The sequence below is a fragment of the Homo sapiens genome, chromosome 5 (genome assembly GCF_000001405.40).
Source record: "Homo sapiens chromosome 5, GRCh38.p14 Primary Assembly".
NCBI classification, from domain to species: domain Eukaryota; kingdom Metazoa; phylum Chordata; class Mammalia; order Primates; family Hominidae; genus Homo; species Homo sapiens.
Genome location: NC_000005.10, coordinates 109,224,309 through 109,248,647, shown reverse-complemented (window position 1 = coordinate 109,248,647; position 24,339 = coordinate 109,224,309). Strand labels below are relative to the sequence as shown.

At 44.7% G+C, this 24,339-nt stretch overlaps 1 long non-coding RNA gene across 1 annotated transcript in view; it reads left to right on the top strand.

Annotated features, from left to right (window-relative positions):
• Positions 1-11,514, top strand: part of LOC285638 (uncharacterized) — an 89,236-nt gene extending 77,722 nt beyond the window's left edge. Inside the window, exon 4 of the long non-coding RNA NR_149040.1 lies at positions 10,530-11,514. This is a non-coding gene — a long non-coding RNA (uncharacterized LOC285638). The remainder of the gene's footprint in view (positions 1-10,529) is intronic.
• Positions 11,515-24,339: the final 12,825 nt, after the last annotated feature.

The following is a 24,339-nucleotide window of genomic DNA, read 5'->3' as shown; positions in this document are numbered from 1 at the left end:
GGAGGTGCTGCGTGGGTTGTGAAGCTGGAAAAGCTCTGTGCCTCACAAAGAGGAGCCAAGCTTATAGATCAAGGTCCCCCACCAGTGCCCGGGGCTCAGATGGGTCACAGATCCAGAGCTTCCTGAGCAGAGAGGTGTGACATACTCCTGAGCAAGGACCCAGTGATAAAAGGATCCTGTAGGTTTCCTTCCCACCCCCAGCCTTTTCCTCAAGGGCCTGTAGCCACTCACCAAGAGAACCATGCACTGGAAGAAGGAAATGTACAGCCATTCAGTGAATTACTGGTCTTTGACTCTTAGAAGGTCACTGTGGTCTACCAGTCAAAAGGTGGGGATCAACAAACAATGATGTTTTGGTCCAAGTTCTTGTTTTGATCAAGGCTCTTGGGTGTGTAGTAAGAAAAGACAAAATCAGCAGCAGGCAGAATCTCTCTATTGGCTGTCTGTCCTGTGCAGCAAGATTTATTTTTAGGTAAGGAGAATAGAAGCCCTTGGAATAGTTCCTCTTTCACCAAAATAGAAAACCAAAAGCAATACCCCATTTCTGGGAATCCCCAAGGGCCAGCTATTTACATGCATCCTCTTATTTAATGCATGTGGCCACCATGCAAGGCTGGTATCACTAACCTCATCTTGTAGATAAGAAACCTGAGTTACAGAGAAGTTGAAGGTGTTTCTGGAAAAATGTCCAGTTTTCCATTCCAGACCTTGGCAAGGCTGCAGGTGCTGTATGGCCCACTGTGGCCTGGAGTCAGTCTCTGCCCATGATGCTGTTTGGCCACAGCAACTGGCTGTTTGTCAGCCCCCTAACAGTTTGTCAAGTACTTTATTCCTGATTAGATTTCTAATAAGAGTGGTGCTGAGGACTCTTTCTTTAATAGATATTATCATGAGACATCATATTCCACACTTGCCTCCTGCTTGAAAACTGATTGTCGGGACTGCAACGAATTGTGGAATAATCTTCACTAATGCATAATTAATACATGCTGATTCAATTAGAGTCCCCCCTACTATTCTTGCTAAAAAAATTTATATTTATATTATAACATTGACAAGAATGTGAGAAGGGAATAAAACTCAGGCTCTTCTGATCCTCTTCTCTTTGTTCTATCAGATGTGTTTTCTCTCTGCTCCTTGTGTTTTATTACTTTAAAATGCTGCAGAAAGCTGGGTGACATTCTGGCCGCAGTACCGTGGCAACGGGCCACCCTCCCCAAATCTAGAATCAGCCAGTCCACTTAGATGCCCCTCTCCTCCTCCCCATGCGCAAGTAGCTTTTGCAGCATGCTTATTCTTCTTCCTACACACCTCTTCAGTGTGACATCTCTCCTCTAGCCTCACGGCCCTCTCCAGTTCATACCTGGACTTCACAAGACTCAAACCCATCTTTCTAGCTGCCATTTCCCCCATCCCATCCACTTTCTACACTCTTGACAGTGACCATCCTTCTAAAACCATCAGTTATACATCCCTTCAGTAGTTCCCTATAGAGTAAATATGTTTTTTGCCCCTCAGTTTCACTTTGAGGAATTATCTGCCACCCCCTTCCCAACTCAAGGGGTGGGCATCGTGACCAGGCCTGTCCCAGTTTACTCCATCCCCACTGGCTGGCTCAGGGATGCCCTGCCAACCCCACCAGGGTGAATCCAGTTTTTCTTCTGGGATTTTCACTGGAGCTATGAGTGATCCATCCCTTGAGGATCAACTGTCTGAGAAAGACCCCAAGACCAAGGAAATATGGGCTGAGGGAGAAGAAAGAAGGAGAGAAAGCGGGTGATGATTTTGCTGTTATCTGCAACCACAAAGTGCTAATGAACATATTCCCTAGAACTGATAGGACAAATTCTAAGTTTCCTTGTCCTAGATTGCAGGACCCTCTCTGAGATTTGGCCCTTTCTCCTTGTCCATCTCATTTCATGGCCTCCGCCCCATCAGGCCCCCATCACACACTCTGCTCAGTCTCCTGGGTGTGATATTTGATTTCAGGACTCTGTGTTTTTGCTGTGTTCCTCCTCTCAGGAACATGGTCTTCCAGTTTCTGCCCGGCTATCTCCCTCTTCTCCTTTCATACCCAGCTCAAATGTCACCTTGCAGCTCTGTAACTCTCTGCTATCACCATGGATTAAATAAAGACCCTCATCTGTGCTATAACACCATCATGACTATCTCTGTTATTAAATCATAATTTCTTAAATTCCATTGATCTGTTTCTTTTACAGCCATATGTTAAGTATATATTTGTAATTCAGTATTCCCAGGTCTACTTAATGTATTTATACTTGAGGCACAAATTACATACAGTAAGATCCACAGATACTAACTTTTCAATGAGTTTTGGAAACAGTATATAGCCATGTAACCACCATGTAAAATGAGATCTAGAACCCCTTAGAAAGTTGTCTGGGGCCTCTTGTTCTAGTCAATTCCTACCCCACCCCCCTGGCACATACACAGGCAACCACTTTATGGCTTCTATCCCCATAGATTAATTTTTCCTGTCATCTGACTTCATATAAATGAATTTATGCAATATGTACTTTTTGTGTCTTGCACGTTTTGCTCATTTTCATGTTGAAAATGTTTTTGAAATTCATCCATGCTGCTGCACATATCAGCAGTTGTTTCACTTTATTGCTGAGTAGTATTCAGTTTTATGAATATGCCACAATTGGTTTATCATGACTTGTTCATGGATATTGGAGTTGTTTTCAGATTTTGAATGTTAAGAATAGGTTGCCATGAACTTTCTTGTTGTGGACCCATGTTTTTGTTACAGGCTGGGTTCTCTGGAAGCAGATGCAGTTGGAGTTTGAGATACGAGATGTTTATTAAGCATCAATATCTGAAGAAAAGGAAAGGGGTCAGGAGCACAATTGGGCTGAGGAAGAAGTTGAACTCCCAGTGGATTAGGAAGGAATGCATGTAGAACCCACGTGATGCACTTGGGCCTCTCATCCTATTCCCTGGCCCCACTGTGTCATCTATCAGACTGTCCATGCTGGGCTGTAGGCAGGCCTCAGTACCCTTGCCTCATTCAGTTACTGGCTAAGAGCTACACAGGAGGAGGAGGATGTAACCTCTGGAGAGGTGGCCCCCTCTGTAGCTGCAGTAGATCTGGAAGACACAAACAGCTGGAGCTGTCTGCCTACTACAGTCCCCATGGCTTGGCAGCAGGTCCTTTCCTGATGGGAGCTCTGGTTGGCTCATCTCAATGTCTGCCACAGGCTACTCCTTGGGCCACCTGGGTTCACTCTATACAAATCCAGACAGCAGGACCCTAGTGGGCCTCTTTTCCTGAGGGAAAACAGGTTAGCTGAACAGATGTACCCTCACTGCTGCAGTTGGTCTTGGGGACACAATGTATACTCACCAATACTCTCTTCTGTTCAGAGTTCTTCACAATCTCAGATGTATACACCACCTCCACTGGCCTCAGGGCTTACAGGTGGGACAATTCCAATCTTCATGCTGGAAACCCTGCTCTTCTCAGGGGAGGGCTGCTCTACTTGTCCATTTGAACTCACAGTTGAATACAGTACAAAGAGGTGCCTGAGAGAATCACGTGGGATCCACAGGAATTTCTCTCTCCTGCCATATATTACAGGAACCCTGCTCTCCGCTGATAATAGGGTCAATTATCCCTGCCAAGACAGTGACTCTTTTTTGTGTGTGTGTGCTTGCTGGCCCCTGCATACAAGGAATACAAAATACCCAAGTGGCAGCTGTAGTTAATATTTCGATGGGACTCTTTTCATGCTCTCCAGACAAAGCATGCCCCTTTGGGGACTAGAACTTACTACCCTGCAGAACCCAGAATTGCAGGAAGGAGAAGTACAAATTTCCAAGTTATGAGGGGTGATGGTTGGTGGGAACATTCCTATTTCTACCTCTTGGTTCCTCAACCTATATAGTCTTGCTATTGGGGGCAGAGAACCATATAAAATCTTTGGTTCAATTCACATACTTCATGCTGGATGGACAGTACTGCATTCTGCAGAATATTGCCTTTGAGCAGGTATCTTGGGCAGGTAGCATGTTGATACAACCAGTAGCTGTTTCGGTTGTAGACCCTATGTGCGTTTTTCTATTGCCATCATAATGAATTAACACAAACACAATGGCTCAAAACAACACGAATTTATTACCTTACAGTTCTGGAAGTCAGAAGTCTACAATGACTCCTCATGGCTATTGTCCCTTCTGGAGGTTCCAGGGGAGAATCCTTGCTCTTTCCAGCCTGCAGGAGCTGCCTGCCTCACTTGGCTTGTGCTGTTCCTCCCTCTCCAAAGCTGGCAACATAGCATCTGCAGGACTGTTTCTCTCTGTCCTCTGCTTTCATCATCCCATTGCCATCCCTCTTATAAGGAGCCCTGTAGTTACACTGGGCCCACTGCATAATCCAGAATAATCTTCCCATCTCATAATCCTTAACTTAAGGTAACATATTACAGGCCCCAGGGATTAGGGTGTGGCCATGTTTGGGGGACCATTATTGAGCCTACCATAGCCCCAGCTGGTTTCCCTTTGCTATACAGCAGTGGTTCTCAACTGAGGGCAATTTTACCCCCCAGGGATGATCTGACAACGTCTGGAGACATTTTGGTTGTCACAGTGGAAGAGGTGCTCTTGGCCTCTAATGGGCTGAGGACAGGGTGGTGGTAAACATCCCACAATGTGTGGGACAGACTCCCACAACAAAGAACCATTGGGCCCAAAATGTCAATAATGCTAAGCTTAAGAAACTCTGCTGTCAAGTGAGTCTCTTGGATCTTAAGAAAAAAGAGTCAGACTGTTAGGTCAGTTTTCAGCACCAATGTTAGATGTGTCTTTACAAGACTGTCTTTAGAGTCCTGAGGAAAAATGAATTTAGTCCTAGAGTTTTATGCCCGGCCAAAGTATCAATCAAGAGTGTGTGTATATGAGCTGGATGGGAAGGTGTGCATGTTTTAACATGAAAGCACTTGTGAAGTCTACCCCTTCCCCCATGCAGTAATTTGAAAACACTATTTGAGGTGTTATCCCTCCCTCACAAAAAACACAAGAAGTCTAGAAGATTAATGGCATTGGAAACTAGATGGAGAGAGTGGAATATGAGGCAAGGCACGTGAAGAAAACTAGAGCAGGAAATCAAAACAAATCCACTGGGCCTTATGCACACAGAATCTTCAAGAGGATGATGTAAATTCAGGAGCCATCAGCTGTAGATATTTAAAGTCATATAAACATTGTTTAAAGTTATGATGAAAGGTCAATAGAGGAATAAGAACAGAAAGATAACACTGGGAAGAGATCATCTTATGCCCTACTCTATAATTAGTGGTTTTTAAAGTTGTCAGTGTATTATATAATAAAGACAGATTAGTTTAAAAATACCTGTTTAAAAAACAAAACTCTGAATCCCTATAATTCAAAATATACAATGAATCTTTATAAAGATGCCTATTGTTATCTCAAAGGAAGAGAACTGGATGCAACCTACGTTGCATCCAGTAACAGAGAACAGTTACATCAATTATGATATACTGGCTCCATTATGTTGTTATTAAATAATGGCCTCACTGAAAACTAATGTAGAAATATAAAAAATGTTAAGAAATAATGTCAAAGATATATGTATGTTTTATAAAATTATTCCCATTTGAAAAGATTTTCCTAGTGACAGGAGTACCTGTATCAGACTAATGGGCTTATAGATAATACATATTTCATATTTTTCTTTTAACCATTTTCCCCATGTTCTATCTATACTGTTACTTTTATGATTAAAAAGCAGTTTCCCTTAAAAAGAATAAGTCAGTACTGTTTTTAGACAGCCCAAATGTGTCACAAGGCACACAGCTCTGGTAATTCTTGTTTAGAGGAAGGCCCTCTGTCTCTTCTTAAACAAGAGATTGGAAAATGACTACCTTCTGGTTAAAAAAGAAAACCACAGGCATTCTAGCAACAAACCACATCTTTGGTTATATCTTTCTTTTTTCTTGAATGAATGAAAAGAAATTCAGGAGCCTGTGTGTGTGTATCTGCTATCTGAGTCAAGATATTATGAACTAGACTGCTAGTACTGTTATCTGATAAAGAAAAGCTAGTGGGTTTCAGTGGGAAATGCAATGCTAGACACTGGGGGAAATTTCAAGAGATTCTGATCCAATTTAGAAGCTTTGGAGTCTGTATGCAGCCTCTGGGATGGATTGGATTTGCGCACAATAATGATTAAAGATAATTTAATGTGATAATATAAAAACATGTATGTTGTGGGGAATGGAAGAAATGGTGTGTTGCAGACACTATTGAATGTTCTAAAAAATATCCGCTCATCCTTATTCTATAATAGAATTCCCTCCATACTTTTTTTTAAGCTAGGCAGAGGATTCCCCAGAAGAAAAGATTGTATTTCCCACCCTCTTGAAGCTGCTGTGGCCTTGTGACAAAGTTCCCCCACAGAGATGTGGGCAGAGGCATGAGGTGCACATCATTTCTGAGAAGCATCTTCACAGGAGAGGGCATTCACGATCCCCACGTTTCTTCCTTGGGACTGAAATGTGAACACGACAGCTTGATTGGTGGCCCTGGGGATGGAAGCCATACGTAGCAGAGTAGCAAGACAGAATGAGCCTTGGGCCCTACTTGGCTGAGACCCCCACACAAACTCTGGCTTACCTAATTCCAGACTTGTATGTGAGAAAGTAAACTTCTACCTTGTTTATGCCACCACATTTGCAGTTTCTGAAACCACGTCCTAGTCACACCAGGGAGGCGGCAGTGCAAGGTGGTTGCACTGTACTGCTTCAGAGTGATGATGGTCTGCCCAATGTCAAATTCACTCTTAGAACTCCCAAGAAAGGTTGCTTTACAAAACAAATGAGAAATAGCAGCATAGACTTTTTCCCAAGACCACAGACAGAAAACTGACACTGAGACTATGTGGTTTGGGGACTAGTATCCGTCCCTGGCAGGGGATACGGGGGTGGGAGGTGGGGAAGAGAGTCTCCACTGAAGTTAGTGCTTAAGACACTCAATGCATTTTGAGTTAGGATGCATTCTGCATTCGTGGGCACCTGAAGCAAAAACACATCATCCCAAGGCATTCTATGCTGGAACAGAGCACCTGGGGGAGACAGGCCATGGGTGTGAGGAGATGAATCTCCTGAGGGCTGAGTTTGCAAATCAACCTTACCAACTGATGGCGAACTATACCATCATTAGCAGCACTACAAGGGAAATGGAGGAGTAGAGGGGAGGAGAAGGAGAAATGAAGGGAAACTAAGCTATGTGTGGGGTCATTCACCCTGCAAAAGTCAAGAGGTACTGGTTGGCTATCATGTCTTCAGTGTTTACCCACAGACTCTTTATAGCATGCCTGGGGGATAATCTCATTGGCTCAGGTTGTAGTTATTTTGGGGACCAGAGTAGAATCAGTGGTACATCCTGAGTTTCAGAGCCGGGAGGTGTTCAAAGAAGGCCAGGTGTTCTGCAAGCCCAAAGTTTCATTCCCTCCACTCCTCCAGGAGTTCATATGCCATCTTACTGCTCAACTGTCTGCAGCCATTTCCAGGCATTTTGCAGATCACTTCCTGACTCCCAGTCTCTCCTAAATGGATGACTAAGACCTAATATTCTCAGTGCTCTTGCTTTTTATGACCTCTGTCCTTTCCCTCATCTGTTTGTACAGTCAAAAGTAGGAGAAGCCCTTGAAATTATTGCTTCAAACAAGCTTGGATTATTTGTGCATATCCTGAACAGTGTTTGGCTCTTACGGAGCAAAACCTTTTCCCATTCGCTGCTGCTTTATTTTCTGCTGATAGTGAGTGCACTGTCTCAGACAAGGTTCTTGTGGGAGCTGAGCAATAGATATTAAAAATCCATCTCCTGTGATGAATGGGACCATCCAGGGTCCTGGCAGAGCAACTTGAGTGTCTATGTTCCGCCTTAGATCTAACGCCTGTTTCCAGCTCTGCTGCAGGCCCCTTCTCATGGCAGCCTGTTCCCATGGCTTTCACACCCCTGGGAAGTAACGCAAGTGAGTCTCCCTTTATTGGAATCACTGTCTGCTTGGGTGAGGCAGGGGTTTGCAGCCACACAAATACCGGATGCCTTTCTGGGCTGAGACTGTCACATTGCCATTTCTCAGAGAACCAAAAGGAGGAGAATCAACAATCTCCCATGAATGTTTTGAGATCACTTTGGGTAAGAAGGCAGTGGTAATATTAAGGCAGCTCAACAATTCCAAAAGACTCTTCAACAGCAGCCATCCACCCCCAAAACAACGGGAATGGGCAGGAATATCTGAGGGCAGCATAAGTGTGAAGCCTCATGCTGTTGGAGAAGTTTTACACAGAAAACTAGATATGAATACACTGTTCTAGGGGTAAGTAAAGCACCTTAGAACAATATAACCAGCAAGGAAAAATCAAATTGTCAAGGAAGATGTTAACGTCTAATTGGAAGGTAGAAGCATCAAACTCAAAGCCAATAAACCAAAAAGCTGTAGTAACACTTGGGTTTCTATACCCGTAGAGGCATCTGAGAGGAAGGAGAAAGGTTTGAATAAGAAAGAAAATGGCCAGGTTGAGCTGAGTTGTTTCTCCCCTCTGGGTCAAGCAGACTGAAGAGGACTTCAGTTTCTAGCTGACACCAGCTGACTCAGGGTGCCTGCTGAACAAATCATTTTGGGGTGCTGGAATGCCAATACCAGCATCTGTGCAAGGCCTCAGGCAATGGAGCTACTCAGTCATGGTATGGTAGGCGTGCAGTTAGGGTTTCCAAATCTGTCTGGGCCAGGATTCACTTACACCCTTGGTTGGAGGCCCACGGCTCCAGCCACCATTCCTGAAAGCTGCCGTGGAAGAGGTAGCCGCTGAGGAGATTCTGCTGGGAGTGAGGGCAGGCAGAAGAGGATTGTGATGAATGCACTCTGGTGAGCTTGGCCAGCTCCCTCCATAGCCTCAGGAGCCTTTGAGCACATTTATCTCCACCCCATTGTGTTCCTGGAATGTGTCCCTTGGCTGTCAGGAGCCGAAGCAGGAGGGTCAGACCTGCTGCTGGGTGAGACCATCCTACAGCTGTTAGAAAGAATCCTGGCTTCTTTATCCTGTTTTTTCCATTGCTGACTCATAGCATGTGGCCAGGGTGAACTGTGAGGAGGGAGATAGGACATCGTCAATGGTTTCCTGAGGGCAGGTGGGTCAGGGGGTCACTCTGGCCAGGCTCCTGGCCCTCATGCTTTTGCCAGATGACTGGTCATCTCTGGAGAACATAAGGGGTCCTGAAAGGAACATCAAAAGATTTCAAGGCTGTACAGAGGGGCATGACCCAGCAACTACCACCTTCTCCCAGGTGCGGCCTGACAGGAGAAGGACAGGTTCCTTATTATCTTGGGATTAAGACCCAAGCTCTCAAATCCCATTAGGAACTTAACAGTGGCAGAGCTAAGGGCTCAGGCCCTGGCCCTGGCTCATAATTCTTTCTAGAGCTTTGTAGAAACTGTACAAATGTCAGAGTAAACACACAAAACAGCATATAGGGACCCCCCCTTATAAACAATAAAGCTCTGTGTATACTTGTTTCTAACCCACTTCAGTGTCTCATGGTGGTAACATGGGCTTTCTTCCGTGGAGATAAATGTTCAGACCCATTACTTCTGCTACCCTCCCACTCCTGCTGCTTGAAATGCTGCTGCTTGGGTGCCTGTCCACTTCATTAGCTAGGAAACCCATACTAGGCTTGAAGACCAAGTTGGAAGATTTGCTGAGTATAGAGCAATCCTTGAAGAATAATCTTCAAAGAAATTAATTTAGTCTTTCAAATTTAACCTGTGCTATGTATAAAATTCAGGTCTCAGTATTTCAGAATTCTGAAGAGGAAAGATTAGAGTCACAAATGAAGTCTTGAAGAAGTGGTACCCAGCCAGGGAAGCCCATGGCTTCCCACAGAACAAAACTGCAAGGACTGAGAACAGTTTTGTTCTCAGCTGAACAATTGGATTGTAACTGGGATCATTCATTCTGAGAGAAGCAAAATGACATTAACAGGTTGATGCCCTCTGCAAAGGCAATTGGGTTCGACTCATCTTGAGATTAGTATTCTTCCTTGGGGCTTTGTTCAGATTTATTCAGGGACCCACAAGAGAACTTGAGCCCAGGGTTCAGCAGTAATTATACAAGATGGATGGTTAAGTCAAAAAAGATGGCAATGGCACTGGGGCCCAGTGGAGAGAAGAATTTCCCAGCTGACCTGTATTCTTGTGTGAATCCTGTGCAGACTTCATGTGGGAGCCACCAGGCAGGACGGGAAGGAGGGAGGGGAAGCCCGCCGGAAGAGGAACCTAGGAGGGAAAGACAAACTGATGAGGAGAAACAAACAATGTTAGATCTAGAAAGAAATTCAGATGGGAAGGGGACCGGGGAGAAGCAGGAGCCTCAAGTCACCAGCACCAGCTGGATGCTAGCGTTGTGCCCTACAGGTTGGCAATTGTAGTGGGATTAATATCTTCAAGACATTGCTGATGTTTTTCCTCTCTCTCCACTCAGAAGTCTGCCTAGAGGAGAGTTGACACACCAAAAACAAAACTTCTGTTTCAAAAATCCAGTCCCTGAAGGCAATCGGGAAAAAGTGTGAAGAACAAGGGCAGAGCTTCCCAACTTTGAGCCTGAGTGGTGAAAGGAAGCAAGAAGAAAAGGGGTTTGTGGGTGCTCGGAGGAGCCCCACAACTATACCCCCATCCTCTCCAAGATCCACCAGAACAGATACCTACATAAACTAGAGGCATTTGAGAACGAAGGCCTCTTGCCCCCGAGGCAGCAGTAGCAGACTTGTATGGCCCACATGTATTAGTCTGTTCTCACACTATTAAGACATACCTAAGACTGGGTAATTTATAAAGGAAAGAAGTTGAATTGACTCACAGTTCAGAATGGCTTGGGAGGCCTCAGGAAAGTTACATCATGGTGGAAGTGGAAGCAAACAGGTCTTTCTTCACACGGTGGCAGCAAGAAGTGCCAAGCAAAAGGAGGAAAAGCCCCTTATAAAACCATCAGATCTCATGAGAACTCACTATCACGAGAACAGCATGAGGGTAAATGCTCCCATGATTACATTACCTCCCACCAGCTCCTTCCCACCACATGTAGGGATTATAGGAACTATAATTCAATATAAGATTTGGGGTGGGGACACAGCCAAACCATATCAGAGGATGAGCTAGGGGTGCACAGGGGGAGTAGGCTGTGAAGGACATGTAGTACCCACATCTCTAGGCCTGCAGGTGCCTTTCCGACAGGAACAAGAGGAACGTGGTAACATTCCAGTGTGGCCTGGCCAGCAGGCACAGCCAGGTAATGTATGGCGCAGCAGGCACCAATGTGGCAGGGGAGGGCCACGTGCTCCTGTGTCTACCCCAACACAAAGGTGCTTCTCCATAACCACTCCTACCCGCCTCCCCCAAAACTGGCTGAGTTTAAGTTTCTGCAAACTGGCAAAATGAGGGCTTGAAATAAAAATTGTCTGTGGACTAAATTTTATACACGCTACAATATATTATCTCATTTAATCCTAACATTGTCATTCAGAAAGGGTTATTGTTCCTATTTACAGGCAATATCAAACAAGACACAAACATTCCAAGTCATTTGATAATTCCTGTAATTCAAGCAATATATAATGAGTCCCTTGTAAATGCCGGATACTGGAATGACCAGTTGTAATAGTTTTCTATTGCCACATAAGGTTGACCACACTTTAACAGCTGAAAACAACACTCTTTTGCCAGTTCACAGTTCTGTTGATCTGATGTCTAGCACGGTGTGCCTGGGTTCTCTGCTCAGGGTGTCACAAGGCTTAAATCAAGTTGTTGAGCAACTGGGATGAGTCTTTTGTCTGGAGGCTCTGGGAAAGAATATGCTTCCACACTCATTGGCACAATTCAGATCCTTGTGGTTGTAGGACTGAGGTCCCCATTTCCTTGCTGGCCACCATCCAGAAGTCACTCTCAGAGCCTAGAAGCTGCTCCCATGCCTTGCCCTGTGGCTGCCTTCATTTTCAAGCTTTGACCCTCTTCTTCTTCATCTGCAACCAGCTGGAGAAAGCTCTCTGTCCTAAAGGGCTCCTGCAATTAGGTCAGGCCCCTGTTTTAGGGTCAATTAGTTTGGGACCTTTATTAAATCTGCAAAATTCCTTCACAGCAGCACCCAGATGGGTGTTTGCTTGAATAACTGGGAGGTGGTATGTGTGCATTGGGTGCTGGGTATCTGGGAGGACCACCTTAGAATTCTGTCTACCACGCTATTTTAGAGGACAATGGTGAACAAAGCAGATGAGGTGGGTTTTGCATTCCAACTGTGGAGACAGACTATAAACAAGCATACAAAGGAATAAGGTCATTCCAGGCCACGGCCAGTATGTTAGGCTGTCTTTGCATTGCTATAAAGAAATAGCTGAGACTGGGTAATTTATAAATAAAAGAGGTTTGATTGGTTCATGGTTATGCAGGCAGTACAAGCATGGCACTGACCCCGTTCGGCTTCTGGGGAAGCCTCAGGGAGCTTTTACTCATGGCGGAAGACAAAGTGGGAGCAGGCATGGTCATGGTGATCATGGTGAAAGCAGGAGCAAGAGAGAGTTGGGAGAGAGAGGTGCCACATACTTTTTAAACAAATGTTTATTTCAATAGTTTTTTGGGCAACAGGTAGTGTTTGCTTACATGAAATAAGCTCTTTAGTGGTGATTTCTGATATTTTGGTGCACCCATCACCCAAGGAGTGTACACTGTACCCAATGTGTAGTCTTTTTTTGTTGTTGTTTTTTTGAGATGGAGTCTCGCTGTCGCCCAGGTTGGAGTGCAGTGGCGCGATCTCGGCTCACTGCAGGCTCCGCCCCCCGAGGTTCACGCCATTCTCCTGCCTCAGCCTCCCGAGTAGCTGGGACTACAGGTGCCCGCCACCCCGCCCGGCTAATTTTTTGTATTTTTAGTAGAGATGAGGTTTCACCGTGTTAGCCAGGATGGTCTCAATCTCCTGACCTCGTGATCTGCCCGCCTCGGCCTCCCAAAGTGCTGGGATTACAGGCGTGAACCACCGCACCCGGCCCCATTGTGTAGTCTTATCCCTCATCCCCCCCCACCCCATTCCCCCAACTCCCCAAAGTCCAGTGTAACATTCTTATGCCTTTGCATCCTCATAGCTTAGCTCCCACATATGAGTGTGGACATACAATGTTTGGTGTTCCATTCCTGAATTACTTCACTTGGAAAAATCGTCTCCATTTCCATCCAGGTTGCTGTGAATGCCCATTATCTCATTTTTTTTTTTTTTTGAGAGATGCCACACACTTTTTAAAGACCAGATCTTCCCTATTGTGAAGCCAGCATCAAACCATGAGGGATCCGCCCCCATGACCCAAACACCTCCCACCAGGCCCCACCTCCAGCATTGAGGATTACAACTCAACATGAGATTTGGGTGGGGACAAATATCTAACCTATATCATTCTGCTCCTGGACCTCCCAGATCTCATATCCTTCTCACATTGCAAAATGCAATCATGCCTTCCCAATAACCCCAAAAGTCTTAACTCGTTCCAGCATTACCTCAATCCCAAGCCACATCTGGAGATGAGTTCCTTACACCTATAAGCCTGTAAAATCAAAACAAGTCGGGAATTACAATTCAATATGATATTTGGGTGGAGGACAGATATCCAAACTCTGCCAGCCAGTGCCATGAAGGCAATGCCATAGGTCTCCAGAAGGCATCAGCTACTTTTTCATAAAGGGGGAGAACCCACAGTAGATTGGTCCTTGCTCCTCCTACTCCTTGTCCCCTGGAAACAGGTGCTGGGACACACCAAGGTCATCCAGTGAGTTGAGGCTGCATTAAGACTAAAGTCTCCCAAGCCTGGGCATTTCTAGTGCTGCCCCCTGGGGCTGGGGCTCACCTGCACCCACCACCTGCTCCCACCACCTGCTCTCACAGGCAACCAGGCTCCTGCGAGAACTCAGGTCTCAGAGCAAGGACACTTGCTGTGCCACGTCTGACCCAGGCCAGAGGTGGCAAGCAGACAGGCTAGGAATGGGAGTACTCCATCATACCTGACAGGTAGACTTTAGGGCACCATGACCTAGGGGAATTCAATTTTGAGAGGAAAGCTATGCCCAGCAGCTGAGCCTTCAGTGGTTGTCAGCCTTCCCTGACCCCTGCCCTCCCTGTCGCTCCCCTCTAGGACCTCTGTGCCCCTCGCCACCCCAGACATTTTTGTGAGCCAGCTCCTGAACACACAAAGTTCCCAGGGTGTGAACAGTATTTCCACACCACCTTGGCACTGCTGCAGGGACAGGAGGTGTGAGCTCTTGTCACCCACCAAGGAGACAAGAGCAGGGCTTGCAAGGACAAGGTGTGGTTGGGATCAGAACAATGGCTCTGTCCTCTATTGGAACTCTCAAAGATTTTTTGGGAGAAAGTTATAGATGCACATATATGGTTCTGTCAGTGGGAGCACCAGACTTCTGAACAGATTTGACTTTTTGAATGAAGGTTGAGATGATAGCCATTATTTTAAAAGTCAAAGATCCATCAGCAAAGGAGCTTTGGGTCTCCTTGTGCCTACAGAACCCCCCTGGAACACTCTGCTTGCTACTGAGTGAGCAACTGTTGGGGAGGAGAAGAGAGTCCATGACCTCAAGGAGCTCTGGATATGTAGAAAGGGTTGAGCTGCAGCCTCTGAAATTATTAGAGACCAGTCATTCAGTCCTGTCAGCCACATCTTCAAAACCTATGCCAGTTCTGGCCTCCTCTGCACGTCCACTGCTACCCTCTTGACCTGAGCCACATCAGGTCCCACCTGAAGAAGCTTTCTGAATGAACTCTGTGCTCCTCTACCACTGAAGTATATGTTCTCCACACAGCAGCCATGAAATATATAAAACAGAGACATATCCGCACTTAAAGGCTTCTTATAGCTCCTTCCACACTTGGAATACAACCAACATTTGTTAAGTCTATTTGGGGAACATTGGCATCTTAGCCATATTGAGTTTTCCAATCCATGAGCATCGTATCTCTCTGTTTATTTAGGTATTTCCTTAATTGCTTCAGCAGTGTTCTTAGATATGTTGAGGTATTATTTACATGTAGTCAAATTCTTTCTTGTTAGGTATACAGTTTGAATTTTGACAAATGTATACGGTTATATAACCACCACGAGGCCTGGTTAACATGGTGAAAACCCATCTCTACTAAAAATACAAAAATTAGCCAGGCATGGTGGCGGGCACCTGTAGCCCCAGCTACCTAGGAGGCTGAGGCAGGAGAATCACTTGAACCTGGGAGGCGGATGTTGCAGTGAGCCAAGATTGTGCCACTGCACTCCAGCCTGGGTGACAGAGCATTATTTCAAAGTTTCCCCCCCTTTTTTAGTCCATCCTTTCCTCCCCTTTCAAATCCTATAGTTTTGCCTTTTTCTAGATGGCATATAAGTGGACTCATAGTGGGTAGCCTTCTGTGTTTTGCTGCGTTTGCTTTGTGTGATGCCGTTGATGCTTATCCATGCTTTCTATGTGCGAATAGTTAATTATTTTTTAGGGCTGAGTGGTATTCCATTGTAAGAATAGGTCACAATTTATTCATCTTTGGATTGACATTTCAGCTTTTTCCAGTTTTTAAGCTATTACACATACAAGTACATGATTTGAGTACAAGACTTGTGACAACAGGTGTTTTCATTTCTCCTGGGTAAATACCTAGAAGCGATATTGCTGGGTATGGTGGTAAGCGTATGTTTAACAATATGAAAATGTCTTCCAATGTGCTGTACTATTTTTTCATTATCACAAGCAATGTTTGTGAGTTCCAGTTGTTGAATATTCTTGCTGGCACTTTGTATTGTCCAGCTTTTGTTTTTTGTGATCCACTGCAGTAGGTGTGTTTTATACCTCATTTCCCTACAGACTGTTGATACTGAGCTGCTTTTTACATATCCCTTTATTGGGAAAGTGTCTCTTCAAATATTTTGTCTTTTGCCCATTTTTTAATGTACACTGTTTATCTTGTTATTGAATTATAAGTGTTCTTTTATGTATCTTGGATTAAGTCCTTTATCAGATATACATTCCACAAATATTTCTTCCGGTCTGTTTTTTTCTAGAATTTTTATAGTTTTAATTTTTATGGTTAGCTCTATCATCCATTTCAAGTTGATTTTTGTAAATGTGAGAAAAGAGTTAAGTTTGGTGAGGGGGGGTGGTTGGTTTTTGCAAATGGATGTCCAGTTGTTGCCAGCATCATTTATTGAATAGGCTATTCTTTTTCCAATGAATTGCCACAGCAGCTTCATTTAAAAAATCAATTGAGCATATATATGTGGACCTATTTCTGGTCTCTCTTCTGTTCCATTGATTTATATCTTTGTCTTCACACTCATGCCACATGGTCTTGATTGCTGTAGCTTTAAGGCAGGTCTTGAAACCTCATGGTAAGAATGCTCCAACTTTGTTCTTTTTCAAAATTATTTTGGCTGTTGTAGGTCCTTTGCAATTGCATATAAATTTTGTTCTCAACTTGTGAATCTCTACCAGAAACATCCTGTTGGGACTTTTATTGAAATTGTATTGAATCTGTAGTCCTGTATCTATTAAGTTGAACCTGTAGTTAAAAGCTTGCCCACAAACAAAAACTGTAGGTGAGCATAGATTCACTGATGAAATTTACCAAACATTAAAGAAGTCATACCAATTCTACACAAGCTCTTCTAGAATATAAAAGAGAATGGAACACTTCCCAGCTCGTTAAATGAGGGACAACATCCTGACTAAGCCTGAGACCAAAACATTATAAGAAAAAGAAAACAAAAGATTGATATCCCTCATCAGAGACAAAAATTCTTAACAAAATTTTAGCAGATGTCATCTTGTCCTAGCTCTAAGCTTTCCTTCCAAGATATTTTGAAAGAGCTACAGATTTATAGCAATACAAATTCCTTCAGTCTCCTGGGGCAGCTGGAGCCCCTAGGTCAGTTGCTTCCAACTGCCAGCAGTCCATTTACCTGGTGTGCCGCTAGGTGCAAAAGGTTAGGAAGCACTGCCTGGATCTCACGGTCTATCACTTCAGTGCCCCTGGCTTTTGTCCTAAACTGTCTTGCCCTCAACCCTCATAGTTTCCCTTGTGACTGCCCTCCAGTACCCCCAGCCCCTCTATTCACCTTCAGCTTGATGTCTCTGCTGCTTCCCACTACTGAGCACTGGTTAGGAAACCTTATTTATGTTTATATAGAGAGACAGACAAGGTCTTGCTCTGTTGCCCAGGCTGGAGTGCAGTAGCACAGTCCTAGCTCACTGCATCCTCAAACTCAAGCAATCCTCCCACCTCAGTCTCCCAAGTAGCTAGGATTACAGGCAGACCACCATGCGCAGCAGGGCATCACTTTTTATATGGGTCATAGTCACCAACCTTGACTAGCCCTTGGTGCTAGACAAGCTTTCCATGGGTCTCAGCCAATGACCCCTCACATTTTCCTCGGTTATTTTTCTATTCTCAATTGCTTTTTTAAAAGCCTCCTCTCCAACTGCAGCACCCTTTCTTCTCAGATAACCTTACTTGGTACTTTACTGAAAAGAAAAATGGAGGCCATCGGATAATAACATTCTTAGCTATTTTCTCAGCCAGCCACAAGTTCATCCGTGTTGGCATACATATGAGGAATGATTCTCCACGAATCCCTCAAGTCATTAGATGTCTAAGCACCAACAGCCAGTTAGATTTAGACTGTCTTCCCGAGAATGTTAGGATAAGCAAGGGCCTTGGAAAGATAGAAATGTCTCTTACATTACAAATTAGTAAAAATAGAGACATCTCCCTTGCCTCCTCAGGGCAGATTTGCTTATATTTCTGGGTAACAAAGATATCTCTTTCTGGAAAGGAAGATGGGTGACTTTCTCTTTCCGGAAACCCTTATAGGAGATCAGCTCTTCCTAGTCTCAGGCTCCTTCCCCACAGTGCAACCCTCCACATCTGCTGGCAACACTTAGCCCTGATCATGTTGCCCTGTAAGAATTGGGATTTGGGGAACTGGTGCCAGATGTTACTCTGCCTCCTACTGTTGCTGAGAGTAATCATCTGTTTTTTGCCTTCAACCCAGAAGCCTGTGTTTTCTGCCAATATTTACGAAATGTGGCAAGCTGTCTTGTTAACTTGCATATAGAACAGAATCTTAGACTCTCATAGCTCTGGACTTGGCATATACTCTTTGCACCTGCCCTTCAGTCTCAGGAGAGTTCTGGTCCCTCCTCCTTTACAAGGCTAGTCCCTTCTCTCGGCCTTTGGTTCCATCATTTCTCATCTCTTCATGGACTTGGTCCATTGATAGTCACTCCTGTCTGGCTTTCCCCCACCATCATGCTAAACATCATCAAGTCTCTCCCAATTAAAAACAAACATTTCCTCCCTCCAGCTACCATCCTTCCTGTCTTCTTACTAGCAAGCTTCTTGAAAGATAAGTCTCTTAATGTCATTTCCTACCTCCCATTCATTCTCCAGCTCACTGCAGTCTTATAAGTCTCCTTTACCTGGGTCTACCACAAAAACTTATCTCTATATTGCCTAATACAATCAACATTTTATGTGGTAATCCTACTTCTTAGTGACATTTGACGAACATACTTCTTGATTTGTCCCCTGGACATTGTGACATGTCTCTCAGTTTACCTCCTTTTCATTTTCTTTCATGGGTTCTCTTTTCTTTCTCACCTTAAGCATCCATAAGGCTTAGTACTTCACCCTCTGCCTCCTGCTCTTCTCACACCACACCCTTGCTCTCTGGAGACTCTCATCCAAACTTATCCAAATTCATAGCTACCCTTACCCTCAGGAAGCAGATAAATCCCAAATTTACATTTCCATTCCCAACTGCAGACCCATATACCCAACTGCCTCCTGATCATTCCCATTTGGATGCCCCAGATTGGACTCATTGCTTTTTCCCACACCTGTTCCTCGCTTGCCCTCATACCCATCTTAGTGATGCCCACAGCCCTGCCAGTCTTGAGACAAGGGACATCAGCATCATCTTCCATGCCCTCATTTCGCTTTTTCCCATACTTAATCCTGAAGATTTACCCTTCAGATGTGCCTTGAAGTCATGTCTTCCTCTCTGTCTGCACAGTCATACTTTAAGAGTTGGGTGCTAAATGCTCTGTTTCTTCCCCCCCAAAAAAATGTGGTCCTGTCCAGCACCGCTTCAAATTCTTCAAAGTTTGTTGGTGTGATGATTAATAGTATGTGTCAGCTTGAGTGGGTTACAGGTTGCCCAGATATTTAATTACACATTACTTCTGGATGAGTCTGTGAAGGTGTTTCTGGAAGAGAGTAACATTTGAATTGGTAGACTGAGTAAAGCAGACTGTCCTCCCCATTGTGGGTGGGCCTCATCCAAGCTGTTAAAGGCCTGAATGGAAGCCCTGAGTAAGGGAGAATTATTTCTGCCTATCTTTGAGCTGCAATATCAATCTTTTACTGCCTTTAGACTTGGACTCGAACTAGAACTTATACCATTAGCTCTCCTGGTTCTCAGGCCTTTGGACATAGCCTGAAACTATACCAGTGGCTCTCCTGGGTCTCCAGCTTGCCAATTGTTGATCTTGGACTTCTCAGCCTCCATAATCATATGAACCAATACCTTACAGTAAATCTCTCTAGATAAATAGATTGATAATCTTTCACCCTCTCTCCTTCTCCCCCTCTCCCCTTTCCTCTCCCCGCTGCTTCCCCTACCCCCATTGGTTCCATTTCTTTAGAGAACTCAGCCTGATACTAATACAGATGGACTTTCTATCCGTCCACACATTTCATATTAGCATGCAAAGCCCTTTGTGTGTGATCTCTCCAGCATCTTCCCTCTAGTCTCATTGCCTCCCCTTCACAAAGGGGAGAGAACTCAGCCTGATACTAATACAGATGGACTTTCTATCCATCCACACATTTCATATTAGCATGCAAAGCCCTTTGTGTGTGATCTCTCCAGCATCTTCCCTCTAGTCTCATTGCCTCCCCTTCACAAAGGCCCTCACCAGATCTATGGAACCCCTTCCAGCTACCCTGTGTGCCTGGCTTCTCTGCCACTGGATATGGTATTCTTTTTACTGGGGCTGCTCTTCATTCTTCCTTTACTACCTCCCACCCATACTTCAAATCTCAGGTCAGGAGCACACATTAAGTCTTTTTGAAACCTTCTGATCTATTGCCCCTCAGCAAAGTCCCAAAGTTCTTTGCCCTGCTCTGATATTTCTCATACTTGGTAATCATGGTTGATTCATTTTTGCCACTCTCAACACTGAAAGTTCCTTGATGATGTGAATTTTGTCTCAATTTTTTCTATCCCCTGCACCTAGAAAATTCTTGACTCATATCAAATGGTTTTAGTTATTGGTTTAATGAAAAAAATAGAAGTCACAGCCATGCCCAGAGCCAACCTGGAGCCCAGCAAAGGAGATAGGAAGAAGTAACACTGGTGTCCCTTCCTCTGGCTCCCTTACCCTTCAAATCCATCTTCCACACTGCCATGGGGTTGGTATTCATAAAAGGAAATGGGCATCTAAGTTGGCCCCTCTGAGTGGGCTCTACTAATTGGAGACCATTTGAATGACAGACTTGTGGAACCTGAAATCACTCCATCCTCTGGCACCAACTCATGACTCCTTAATCATCTGACTAGAGCCCCACTAGGGTTGCCCCACCAGTCCTGCCCCACCAGTGCTCTAATTATCCCTACATTTGCCTGAGTCTTTTAGGGGCCCAGTTTGAACTAGAACTGATGCCCAAATCCTACAGGAGATGCAGTGTGACCATCTGTGACCCCTGCCACATGCAGATAAGACACTGATGCTTGGGACACTGTGTCACTTGCTCATAGCGCTCCCACCCCTACCCCCAACAGCAAGCTATCTTTCTCCTGTGCTAGCCCACCTCCTCACCCGCTTTGCCCCCTCTGCCCCTACCTTCAACCAGCAAGGTGTGCCAAGTCCTCTGAGCAGCCCTTTGCCTTATAATCAATAATGAACAAAGTAGCCCAAGATGGCTGCCCTTGGGCTGACTAGATATTGAAATAGAAGCAGTTTATAGTGAAATATTTCTGTATTTCAACAGCATTACATTTCTGGCTCTGAATTACATTGCCAATATCTTTTCATATAGTTCAGTTTCAATGAGCAATACATTTCTTTTCCCCAGATGCCTTTTTAGATGAATTTTCTGGAAGGCTGCACCTCTTATCCCAAGTGTATTGCATGCACCTAAATAAATCTCAATTTATATAATCCCAACATCACAAAATAAATCTGTTGCAGAAAAAAGACTTTGAGACAGGCAGGGAAGCAAAGTCGAGCAGGGTTCCTGTGACTTCGAACCGGTGACCATACTTCCGGGATAGTCCTGTTGTCCCAGCTTGACTATGAAGAGTGTCCCCTTTCACTGTCAGTATTTTCCTGTAAACCTTTAAGGCCCCCTCCCAATCATCTTCCCAACATCCCTTCGTCATCTGTGGGCCACCCATCTGAAGACACGGCTTCACTTGTGGCCAGAAGGGAGGCTAATTCTTGTGGACTCCATCAGTTCATACCACCTCCTTGTAGATTCCCAAACAAGTGAGGTCCTTGAAAGTGTCTGTGCTGGAATTGTTTTGGACCAGTGAAACAATGGATAGGATAGGTCCTTGAAATTTAACTCAAGCTGCACTGGTGTAAAATATTCCAGTAACTGTTATTATTATGACTAGCATTAAAAAGCTGTAAAGTGCCTTCATAAGGCAAATATGTCCCAAAAAATTCCAACAGTGATGTAAATGAAAGGAAAGGTTCCCAAGAAAAAGTGCATCGGCCACCTCCTCCTCCAAATCCTTGGTTCTCTGTCTCCCAGGACTTACAGACTATTCATTCCCACTGTGAGCTGTGCTGCTCTCCTCCTCTCCTGGGCGTCCAGGCGCCCAGAGGGATGTGGCAAAACAGGAGCTGTGAGCCCAAGGGCTGATCACATTAGGCCAACAGACACTGAAAGCCGGAGCTGCTTCAGGGAGCTTAGAATTTAGGAAGCTGAAAGCAAATCCTAGAAGCATGGAGGTTAGAGGAAAAAAGATGGTGGAAGAAGTTTCCAGAATGACATTAAGTACTGGAAGGGTAAAAAGTATTCCACATCTTTCAGAGAACTGAGCCAGATGGCTTTCCTGTTACCAGTTCTATTTTTCTCAAACTTTAGCACATTTTGCTTTGCAATAAATAAGCAGATGTCAATTTGTCAACAAGCCATTAGCAATGCCTTTGCCTTTGTGCAATGCGAATCTCCCTCTTCTTATTCCCCAGGCTGAGGCCAAGTTCCAGATGACCAACCTTGAGCATCCCCTCTGCCCACCACGCCTGCCTCCCGGAGAGGTGCATATGATAATGAGGTAGCACAATCCCTCTGGACACATGAAATTGTGGCGTTGCTCTCCTGGACTTGCTGTGAGGCCCTTATTCATTTCCAGTCTCTTGGGGAACTCTAAGGCCAAAAGAAAGATTTGTTTTTTCACCTCATCATCTGAGTTGTTAAAAAGTATTTCCAAACTATTATAGATAGAAAATATCTCATCCATAAGAGATATAAAGTTACCAATTTCCTCCCTGTAAAAATATGCTTCAGAGGGATAGAGCCAGTGCAAATCAATCAAGAGAGCACAACATGGTTCCCTGCTCAGAGCCCGAGCATGCGCTGAGCTGGCAATGGGCCTGTGGATGTGCCCCAGACAGACCTCGTGTGTTTCTTTTATCTCCAGCGTCAAGACTCCAGGCTTATTTTGTACTTTTTCACTGTCAAATTCTTGCCAGGAAAAATTCTGAAAAAAGGTCTTTAAAGCAGGCATGGTAATGCGTCACCCAGAGGAGGCTCAGGGGTCACATCACGGCAACAATCAGTGGGTTTTGAGTGAAACAGCCTTGTGTTTGATTGTTAGTGAAAACAGTATCATTAGTTTTTAAGTCTCAAGACCAAACGTTCCTGACCACTGTCATGTTTTAGTCTGTAGTCTGACACTTGACGGCAACTCATAAGGATGAGAAACTCATGCTCATGTGAAGCTGATCAATCCAGCACATAGAAGTCGAGTGGCTGGAGAACCAGAGAGGCTGTTCTGAGCACCATTCTCCAAGCATGTCTAGGAGCCCTGTTTATTGTAGAAACTAAGAGTCACTGGAGTGGGTATGTGTGTGGCTCTCCTGAGGAAGAAAGTGGAATCCTACAGCATCACAGCATGTAGGGGTGAAGTGTCCTTGGGGGTAACAGCCAGGGTTCCCTAGATGCCGGTCATTTGTACTTGGCCCTGACAGTGCCCCTGTGGCCGCATATCACCTGGACTGGTGTTTATTTACTCCCAGAACAAAATTCATTTTGTTTATTATAAATGAAAATTATCCCTTAGGTTTGATGGGCTAGTTGCAATTTTTTATTACCACATATTAGAATAAATGCACACCTATAAAACTGATATACCACCTGAATCATCTCTAGGAATACCCAGTAGCTCACATACCACTTTGAAGAAATATCAGGTGTGCCTGGAAGGCTGCACCAATAGTACTGGGTGCCATCAGCTTTCTTCAATTCTTGATGTCTTCCCTTCAGCTGGATACAGCCTGGCTGGCTGTGCCAGGCCAAAGCATTCACTTCTCAGTGTCTGACTGAAAGATATCAACTCTAGTTTAATACTGCTGATTTCATGGGAAAATCAATTGACTGTTTTTTCATACATGATTTGGAAAGACACGCTATCAAAGTGTGTGTGTGCTGGGAGTAATATAAATGGGTTTTTAGTGGTGGAAGTTTAGTTCAGACAACACAGAATGGGTAGATGAAGAAACTAAGCTTTAGAGAACTCCAGGAACACACAAAGGGAGAGAGGCCTGAAGCACATGGGCTCTGATGCCTGGCCACACACACCCCTTTCCTCTGTGTCACTGGCTTCTGCCACTTCCCTCTCCCTCTCCCCAGGGCGAGTTGCTCCTGGCCACATCTGCATTAAATGGATGACCACAGCTTTTCCCAAGGAGCTGCAGTTCCCTGACCCAAAGGAGGTACAAGGCTGGGAAATGGGCTGTGTTGCACTGGAATGATTCAAATGCTGGCACCTGTACCCAGTGTGAGTGGTTAGGGAGCTCCATGCAGGGACCGTGAGGCTCTTTCTTACTCTTTGATCCCCATTCAGGGCCATATGAGGGCCTGGATGATAGAAATTGTTTGATAAAAATGTGTGAAATAAGTGAGTGGAAGAGTGAGTAAATTAAACAGAAAGCACCTCCCGTGTGTTGTCTACCCCTCCTCATGGGACCCATCT